Source organism: Homo sapiens, chromosome 11, assembly GCF_000001405.40.
Source record: "Homo sapiens chromosome 11, GRCh38.p14 Primary Assembly".
In the NCBI taxonomy this organism is placed as follows: domain Eukaryota; kingdom Metazoa; phylum Chordata; class Mammalia; order Primates; family Hominidae; genus Homo; species Homo sapiens.
Genome location: NC_000011.10, coordinates 127601261 through 127612414, shown reverse-complemented (window position 1 = coordinate 127612414; position 11154 = coordinate 127601261).

Here is an 11154-nt window from a genome sequence, read left to right as displayed (position 1 = left end):
CTGTCAGTGTGTTACCATGGATGATTTATTTTATGCCAAAAGATCTGCAGGTTGATCATCCTAACCCAGAGATTAACTTAAAATGGAAAAGGTAAAAATAATCAGCTCCTACTGAAATGACACAGTGTCCATATAGCTACTGTTGAAACACTGAAATTATAATTTATCTTATAATTAATAGGAAAGAAGAACAATCTGTTGCTCCTCAAGTGAATTATTGAGACAACTGGGGAAAATGTGCTAAAAAATACTGTGTAGGAGAATTCTTAAAATGGAGACTGCTCAGCTGTAAAAAATGTTATGTGAAAGACTTCCATATATTGGGCCATTAATTATTTTGGTTTCTGTAGATTTCAGAAAAGATCTTTGTTTTCCTCCAGGGAGCAGTGGCGCTAAATAGGTAATGCTCTCTACAGGCTGCTCTTTCATGAATCTTCAGCTTTCTGGCCATCAAAGAAGTCCTTCCCCCAACCCTGCCCCCTCCCTTCTCTGTCAGATCCGCCTACTCTTTTTTGGAATGTGTGCCTCATGGAAGAATTTAAAGGTTTCTCAGCAAATGACATAGAATATTTCAGAGATGTCATTTTGGTCCTACTAAACCTCTAGACTTGGACTTGGGTGTGTGTACTAGTTTCTTATCTGCTGTGCAATCTTGGGAAGTATTTAAAATTCTGAGTTTTATTTTCTGGAGATGTAGATGGTCATAAGAGATACGATTATAACCCTAAATATTTTATGTGTTGACTACTGTTGTAAATGCTTTATGTACATCAGCCCATTTTATCCCTTCTGTACTTTTCAAGAAGCCATGAGGCCCAGGGAGGTTAAATGATCTACCCAAGGTGAGGTGGTCCTGAGACAAATGGAAGATTATTCAGTACAGATCTTGCGGAAGGAGCTTAATCAGTGTCCTCTCTCCTCCCCTTTTCCCCTGATTTTCACATCCTTACAAATGCTTCTCTGCAAGACTAAAAACCACCATGGATATAAAGAACGGGGCACAATGCACTGCTTTCAGAATTCTGCCACTTCTGTAAAGGCACAAAATATATAGTTACAGTTGAAGGTAGGTCATTTTACAACTATGCCACTCTTAGAGTCTAGCTTGGTGTCCTATTTTCATTGTAAAATTTAGTAAATATGTTTGGTAGAGCACATGTGCTCTAATTTAAGGGCATCAGTCTGGGGTCAGGAAGCCGGTAGCTGGCTCAGCTCTGTAGCTGATTTTGGCAAATCCCTGGATGATCCTTGGGTACAGCACAATCATGCAGCCTCAGTTTACCCATCTATATAATAGGATTTGTAACAACTGCTTTCTTCTTTCAGCTCAAGTTACTGAAGAAATAAGAATTCTCAAATGGCACAGCTGCATCCATGTCTGCCAGGGAAGGGAAAACACAGCTACTCCCACCTTTAGCAACTTTGTTCTGAGCACAGGTCAGTTAAGAGTCACCAAGGCAATTGCTATTTTTGGCCATACTTCAAGGGGCCATTTATACACCTCAGCTCAGCTTGCAGTCTCTACTAGGCCCACTGGCTAAACCGTGTTAGAGAACCAGTAACTATTATTGGATTTAGTCCAAAAGGTAGACGATGAAAACACATCTGTGTTCAGAGCATCTATGAAAGCACAAGCTGTAGCATCTTCATTCCTGTGAATGGAGAAACAAGAGACTTGCTGGGATTTCCACAAACAGGATTCCTGCAGAGTGGTTTTGCTAAAAGGCAGACAGCAGGGCAGTAACAGCTGTGCTGTGACCAGGTCCATCTTCAACCACAGGAACTCTCTCAGGATAAATATATAATGTGTGTGTGTGTGTGCGCGCATGTGTGTGTGTGTAATATACATATTACACAGAGAAAGAGAGAGACAGACTAATCATTTAAATGCGTATGATATGCTGGAGAGGCAAAACAAACTTCCTTCTGAGACTCAGCCCAAGAATATTCAGCCAGCTGAAGAAGGATACCAGGAGATGAGAAATTTCAGTCTCAACTTTTCATGGCAGAAAAAAAGAAGGAACTAATAGTCTTCCAGAAGAGAAAAAAATCAAGATTCATTCTCCTGCAAAGGTTACAAATAATGTTGACTGTTTCTCTCCCACCTCTTCCTTCCTTTGGTATTCATCAAGCAAAATGCTAATACATGGAAAGCCTTCCAATTTAGGTATTTCCAAATGCAGTCTCGTTCAGACGAGATAAACCCAGCTTTATTACAGTCACCACGTTGTTTTTGACAGCATGAAAATGGAACTGTATCAATCCTCTCAGGCCCTTCTCCCAGGACTCCCTCTTGAGTCTGAGTTCTGGTCAGCAGGGCAGCCGGGTTGATGGGTTTTACCTGCAGACTGGGGGCCAATAAACAGAACAAAGCCCAAATAGCATCCTCACCAGCGTGCCTCTCCAAGAGGCTCCATATCTAGGAACTATTCATAACAAACCCGTCATGTCCCAGTTACAGCCTTAAAATCGCTATGCAAATTAGCAAGGGAGTGAAAGAAGCCATAGGATTAGGCAGGAGAATTTTTTAAGGCAATATCTATCACTTAGCCATTGTTCTGGTTGTTATTATAAGTGGCATAAAAGAAACATCTACCACATGCCCAGAGTCCATGCGTTGAATTCTGAACAGTTTGCTTCCCTTGCTCTATGCTCTGCTGTCACTTTCACTCTATTTTTCACTCTGTTTTTCCTGAAACTCTTGACTGCCAACCTTCCTGTCTATCTAACATTTACTTTCTCTCCATGCTGCTGGGGCTTGGCGCAATCATTCCTGGGCCTCTCACCTACGCCCTTTCCTGTTCTCCTGGGCTCTTGCTACCTGTGGATAACCGTTCTGGAGCAGCCCTTCCTACTTAGCCTGGCCACCAGATGTCCTGGTCCAAATGTAGCCCTTCCAGATCACATGAGATCTATACCCCACACCCATCTACCCAGACAGGATAGTGTTACAAGGGATGCAAACAGAGTTTATCAGCAAGTAACAAAAATACTGTGCATCTATTACACCCAAAGTACTCTCTCAGCTAGCATGGGGTTACTGAAAGTGATAAAATTAGATCATTGGCATTTTTTGTAAGTTGCCCAAGATAGTCTGGCAAAGAATGTCACATCCAAAATTTACTCCAGCAAATTTTGCTTTTAAAATATGTAAATATATCATTAATATTATAATCGATATATTAATATTAATAATATATAATGTTAGTGAATAATATTAATATATAATTAATTGGTATATAATATATATAAGATCCCTTCTCTCAATTTGCTGTCTTGCTTTGGGACAAATCATAAAAATAAATTTAAATAATCCAATACTAAACAACAACAAAGACTACAAGATAGGAAATGTCACAGGGAGGAGTGTGATCAGTTGCTGAGTGATAGGCTCAGTGAAGGCTGTGAGTTAGAAGTAGGGAGGTCACCACGTACTAAAAGCTCTACGGTGAAGGTGAAGGTGGTGGCCGAGGAGGCAGCTGGAGCAGCCTTTCTTGAAGGACTGCATTAGGTGTATGGTGGTAAATACCACAGAGAGCATGATAACCCTGGCAGTGCGGGATAGTTCAGCAGACACCTAGGAAGATGTCACCATAGGACTGGTTCAGAAATAGAAATTTAAGATATTACTTAAGACTGAGGTTAAGTGGAATTTTCTTATGTTTTGTTGTTTCCATAAGAAACAAAACAAAACAACAACAAAAAACACACACACAAACACAAATTCTTTATGATCCCAGGAACTCGCATCTCCCTTTCAGTGCTTGCAACCAGGCGCAAGAAATCAATTTGTTTTGCAAATGGTCTTTGGAATGACTTAATGTTTGGTTTTGTTTTATTAAATAACACTTCACAGATGACAAGCAGCAAAATTTCATCCTTGCAAATATGGAAATTGCTCAAGCACCACAAAGCCATAGCCAGGTTGATGTTTCGCCTATTCAATCCTTCCTCTTTTCCATACCCCCATAACCCTGATCTTACTGACTTGATGCTTTTGAAGCCCAGCTCTGCCTTTGATCTATTCTGTCTCATTATTAGCTCAAGTTATTTGATGTCTTACAGGTCATAAATATTTTGATATTGAGATTTCCAAAAGAGCCACTTACCTAAGGCAAGCTGGGAGCAGCTCTTTCTGGAAGATCCCTTTGCCCAAGATACTCTAAGATCCATCATCTGCCTGGCTTCTTTGATAAGGCTGTCTTAAGGTGACCTTGGGCCTTCCCTCTACGGATGTCTAATATAATGGCAGTAGAGTTAAGGCTGGAGGTGGAGGTACATTCAGTAGTTGGGCACTGTTAAGTTCTGCTTTCCTGATTTTAAAGGCAGAATTTTGTGTTGCTGACAGATCTGGGAGACACTCTACTTCCCAGCCCACAGTTAAAAACAGTTGGTTTTAACAATATAGACACTAAAAGCCATAATGCAAATAAGATGAAGCACAGCTGTGATAAATGTGTCTTATCCAGGGTGGTGCTGGAAACATGATCTGGACTCACAAATCCCGCTATTGGGTAGCGACATAAATCCAGAGGGATGTGTTGTCAGCCGCAAAGGGCAGGGGGAACCTGTGAAGGAGGAGTCTGCCTCTAAATCATGGCAAAGGTAAATAAACATCTTCAGAACCTAGATGATCATCCTTCAGAAGGTGGCCCACGGGAACAGATTTATTCACCCCGCGTTGAAAGCCACCAGAACTGGAAGAAACTCTAATCTGCAATCATTTTTCACAAAGGCGGGGCAAGGGTTGAGTCATACTATTTCTCAGAACATACCATTTTATTTTCTTTTATTCTTTCATATAAAGTTGAAACGTTATAATTATATCTTAAAGTATTGTAATTATTGTAGATTTTCATAGAAATAAAGCCATATATCAGTGGGGGAAAAAAACCCTTTGTCAGATCATGTATTCCAATTTTGGCGTAGGAAATTTATGGACACCATAAGCTAGAAAGCTCACACTGTGACAAGGTCTGCCTGGGTAAAAATGAAGAGCTCCTACCCACGGCTTTTCAGTTTCTGGCAGGAAACAAGGGATAAAAGAAAAAGATCATGGAATTTTCATGTTTACTCCCTTCAGCTTTTCTTGTTGTTGTCATTATATTCATGACACAAATAATAATAGTGCTACACTATTTGTGTACTTCACCATTTATAAACTGTTTCCATGCATATTAGTGTGACACACATCCTAGGAGGATGATAGTTATCATGCCCATTTCACAGGTAAGGACATTATAGACAGAGAATAAGAGAATTGTATAAGTTTGCAGGGTGAGTAAATAGTTGATCTGAGCCGGCCGCCAGATTGTATGTCTTCTCAAGAGATACTTTGAACTTTGTACTCCCCCACATTGTTATAAGAGCCCTGGAGTCTCCCTGGCCCCACTGACCACTGAAAAAATAATGGGGGACAGAAAAAGACATCACTACCGTGCAAATTTCCAAAGACCCAAGAATCAAATTGCTTTGAATAGTAGGGAGAGTTACAAGACTGATTTTTAGAAATGTAGAGACCTCAGCCCCAGCCAAAGGGAAATCACACTTGCCTAGATCAAGGCACTGTGTACTTTTTCTCTGATGCATTTATCACAGGAAAATTTAGATTTAATTGTGTGATCACTTAATTAAGTCTGCCTCTCTCAGTAGGCTGGAAGTTCCACCAGAGCAGGGATTTTACTTGCTCCTTTGCACACCATTTCGTCCTCGTGTCTCGTACACTGTTTGGCACTCAATAAGTATTAATTGAGTGGTTGAATGAATGAACTAATGAGGGGAACTAGACTCTAAAGAAAGAGATAAATATGGCTTTCCCTTTGAAATAAGGAATCTCATATTAAATATGAGAAGAATTAGATGGGGCAGTGTGATCAACACAACCCACTCCTTTTGATTCTATATGTTTCAGAATAGAATCTTATCAATGTTCCTTTTATTTTCAGCTGCTGGCACCTCATTGTAGGAGATCAAAACAGTCAGTTCTGTTGAGGGTGAAAGGGAAGGAAGGCATGGGAGAAATAGTATTCGGATGGAACAAAAAGTAAAATTCTTGGTGGAGCATGATAGCCACAATAAAAGGAGAATGTCACTTCCAAAATATGCAGGTGGAAATAGCCATTATTACCATTGTTTCTAAAAGAGATAACCTGAACTCCAGTCCAAGCAAGGCATGTACCATGAATTCCTTGGGAGATGGTCCCTTTGCTTTCTGGCTGTACCCGCTTGAGATGGCCAGATTTGTTAAGAATCTAGTCAAGGAGATAGGGAAAGGTAAGCAGTTGGACAGGGGCTTTAACCTCAACCTTGGCCTCATTAGTAGTAACTTTAACTAAACTGAGCCAAGTGGCTTTGGTTCTAAATTCAGCTTCTGTATTTTTATTGTCCTTTTTTCCTCTGTCGTAACTGTAGTTTTAGAAAGGTCACTGTGAGGTCAAGTTGACATATGCAGCATCTCGAAATGGTAAATGGTCTGTAATGAGGGAGAAGCTTGTCATGCACTCAGCACCACTGATTTCTTCTGAAAGAATATTAGTTGCTAACAGCAATAGAACATTCTTGGAGTCTTTAGACTTTTTGCTATTGAATGCCAAGTTTTTAATTTGCTGCTCTTAAATCAAGTAGAATTTTGCTTTAGTAAGAAAGAAGTAATTTATATATAAGTTCACAAAAAGTGCTTTTAACTTGGAACAACAGGTAGGGGTGTGGAGGTTGATTTTCCAAGTGTAACTGGTAATGCAAGAAGTGTCTTATTGACACTTATCTCCAGCTTACACATACGTCAGCCTCTGGATATATTAATACTAATAAGGAAAAAAAGTGCTCTGTTAGTTAAACATTGAAGTGTGTCTTGGGCCAGGCAAGGTGACTCATGCCTGTGATCCTAGCACTTTGGGAGGCCAAGTCAAGAGGATCGCTTGAGGCCAGGGGTTCTAGACCAGCCTGAGCAACATAGTGAGACCTATCTCTACAAAACATTTTTTAAAATTAGCAAGCATGGTGGTGTGCACCTGCCGTCCTATCTACTCAGGAGGCTGAGGTTGGAGAATGGCTTGAACCCAGGAGTTTGAGGTTACAGTGAGCTATGATCATGACACTGCACTCTAGGCTGGGCAAATGAGGGAGACCCTGCCACACAAAAAAAGGGGAGGTTGGGCACAGTGGTTCATGCCTGTAATTTCAGCACTTTGGGAGGCCGAGGTGGGTGCATCACTTGAGGCCAGGAGTTTGAGATCAGCCTGGCCAACATGGTGAAACCCCATCTCTACTAAAAATACAAAAAATAGCCAGGCGTGGTGGCGGGTGCCTGTAATCCCAGCTACCGGGAGGTTGAGGTATGAGAATCACCTGAACTTGGGAGATGGGAAACGGAGGTTGCAGTGAGCCGAAATTCTGCCACTGCACTCCATCCTGGGTGACAGAGTGAGACTCTGTTTTTAAAAAAAAAAAAAAAAAGGAGGTCTTAACAAACCAAGTCTTCTTCCTCCTCAATGACCACTTTTCCCTACCATGGCTCACTTTCCTTCCGTCCTTCTCTGTGCACATCCCTTCCTTTCTCCCCGTGACATGATTCACTATCTCAGGTCCCCATTTCAAGGCTTAAAATGCTTAATACAGGCTGAATACATAGTAGCTTCTCCAAAGGCATCTGTTGAATAATTCAATTAACAGTTGAGGTAAGTCCTCAAAGCCATTGGGAATTATGCTGCTATCTGAGAAGATTTGCGGATATGAAAAAGTGTGCCATGAATTAAGACACCAGATGCAGCTTTATGTCCAGAACTGAACAGAGCTCAAATAAAGGCATCATTACTAGATTGTTCCTAACACGTGCCCCTTCCGTATCTGGAATGCCAAATCCTGCTCATTCAAGTCTTCTTCAAAGACAGGTTCTAAGGCTTCATTAATGCTTATAAAACATTCTGAGATCTCCCTGAGAGTCATTAGAGAATAAAATTATAGTAGCAGTTCTAGCCCAGCTGGAAGGCACGTTCATCAAACACCTCCAGGAAGAATTCTCTAGCTAATTGGATTTTGCTTGTTTTCAGACACCTGCCAAATTTTTTTTATACCCGTAGGTTCTTAACTACATTACAATTTCTGGGATTTGGTTTTATCTCTTCTTCCAGAAGGCCCCAGAAAACATCCCTTGCACCAACCTCTTCATGCTCTATATGGCCCTATAAGATATGGTGGAATATGGAGTGAATGAGGATTTGGAGGGGCCAGTTTGAGTTAGGGCCCTTGAAGAAAAGTTTGTTTCTTCATGTACTGAATCTTGGTAAAGCTAAGACTAGATCCCTGATCTGCTGTTCACTGAGCAATTGGAAAAAAATTTGTGGTTGGTGTTATTGTATATACTTACAGGCAATAAAAGTCAGGGGGCAACATTAAGGCACCTGTAAGATGTCACAGTGTAAATGAACTTAGTCTGATAATCAACTCAAGAATAAAGAAATCTAATTTTGCATATTCAAGGTTTGAGCTGATCTCTAGCCCTGTGGGTAGTATAACAAATTTTCTTATATTACCTGTTGGTCACCCTTTGCCTCATTAAGTGACTGTAGATCAATGAGCATGGAGAATCATGAGACAGTTCCATCCTAGGGAAGGCAAATTGCAGTTCAACTTCAAAGCAACACACCTGACCTCATACAAAAGTGTTCCAGTTTATTACTTTGCACGACTGTGTGTTTCAATTTATTACACTGATGACTTACCTTGTACTACTCTGTGTTCAATTATGTATTTTCTGTTCTCATTACAGACCTTCAAACGACCGCAAAAATATATTCATTTAATGCTTTTTCTGTTCTTTTAAAATTTTTATTACTCAGAAAGGAGGAAGAAAATGGTTTGAGCATTAGCACTGGGTATAAACTCAGATTGATTCTATGTATTTAAATTACTCAGATAATTGGAGCAAAGAAACTCTTTCATTGGAAATAGCTACATAGTAGCTAGAAGAATATATTTAGAGTCTTCACTGCCTAGATAGTTTATATCCACGAATACAAACTAATACAACCAATATGCAGAACAATGCAGGGAAAGGAGTATAATGAAAAACTACTGGGGATCAAAAGAGATCAAGTGTAGCAGGATGGTATTTTGGAAAGAGATGGGGTCAATAATTTGAGAGATTTGTGTTCTAGTTGAGAATCATCTACTTACTAGGTTTTGATTTGGGGAAGTCTTATTTGTTGGAATAGAGTATCTATGTAGTTCCTTCCCATTGCAAATTAGATGATGTTTTTAAATGTGAAGAGCCAAAATTAAACTAAATTAGTTAATTAGTAAGAAGAATATCATATTTATGATGAACAATGTACGAGTCAGTGTTCTATCTTACTCTATAGAATGCTCTAGGCTTTGTCTTACTTTCAAATAGGTCCCACCAGTGGGTTGTGGCTTAAAGAACAAAGATTATTTCACTCGTTTCATCACTGAAACTCTCTTTTCTGAGGCTCGAAATTTATTTATTGAGGGCAACAATGAGCTAAGGCTTAAATGCTAATGCCTCTGAGAGAAGTAATCCAATTACTTACATTTGTCCTAAGGGGCAAACGTATGAAGACTAACAGTGAATTGGGGACTCTATGCAGTCTGAGGTTCAAAGCCATTGACTGAATCCATAGGGAAGCCAAGAATAAAAGGCAGCAAGCTCTCTCTCTCTCTCTCTCTCTCTCTCTCTCTGAGAACCTGTCATTCCTCTTCCTGCAAAATTTCTGCTGCTACCAAGGCTGGACAATGCTTGCCCCTAAAGAATATTAGACACCTTTTCTTGGGCTGTCCATTGATAGTTCTGTCTGTCTACTCTCCAGGGAATAACCATCTCTCTTTTAGAATGTTGTTAAAATATCCTGCAAAACCTGGTAATAAAATATTTTTATCCTCATTAATCAAAAAACATGCATTCAGCAGTTGAAGTTGAAAAGAAATGATGTTTTCACAATCTGAACATCACGAGAGTATGAATCTTTACTAGAATTTTTTAATTCAAAGAAACAGTTTGAATATGAAGAGTATTGGACAAGCAATCATTTATTTAGGTTACACAATGAGAAACAGTCTATTTTCCTGACTAATTCTTCTTACCAATTTAATTCAATTTGAAGCAATAAACCTCATGGATGGCATGATATTTTCCTGTATCCTGAAATTAATTTCTCATCCATTACTTCATTCATTATTCATTCACCTGATAAACATTTATTCATTTCTAAAACATTGCTAGGTATGAAGTGTTTGTAATATGGAGACTTAAGGGATGGCTTCCCAACAGGTCTTCTTCTAGTGTTGGGCTCCTAGAGATTGTAATAACCCTCTAACCCTCTCTTGCCCCTCCCTCCAGGACAATGTGAGGAGCAAGACTTCAAATTTCCTGGTTACTCAGATTCCCAAGTTCACTGAAACTAATATACAACATCCCTATTACCCAGAGCGTTCCCATGAAGATTTTTGCATTTTATCTGGCACCAAACTCAATTTTTTTTGTTCACCCTGACTCTAAGGAACTATTTTTGATTTAAATCATTCTTATTCTGATCCCCTTTTTTCAACATCACAAAGCTATGCTTCAGCATCACCCAGCGGTGCCTCTTCTCTGCCACCTTCTTGAGGTGAAACCCTTTCAGTGCTGTGCAAATAAGGAAACTTCCTTGAAAGGCAAAGGCACAATCTGGCGCTGCCTTTGCTGAGAAACTCTCCTCATTATAAAGGCACATGATAACCTATTTTGAAATATAAAACAGTCCTTTCAGGCTGCAGTTGAAAAACAGTATTTTAAGATTTGTATTGAATGCCTCCTTTCAAGGGCTCCTTAATGAATTCCTGAGTTTAAAGGGAGTCACAGAAGAAAAGTATCCTCTTTGCTTTTTCTTTGTCCCCTTAAGAAATTAATGCACGTTATGATTTATGGAGGCCACTCCAAGGCCTGGTGTATCTGAGATCCCATTTGCTAGGCACATCTTGCAGTGATTTATGCCTAGAACTATCTACAGGGATGGGCAGTGTACCAGGCATTCTCCCATAAAGAACAGATGGCACAGCCAAACTTGGATAATTCAAGAAGACTTCTCTGCACAAAGGCTAGCAATAAAGGTGCAGATTGGGTGATAGGGAGGCCCCAAAGGATGGTAGAAGAACCCTGGG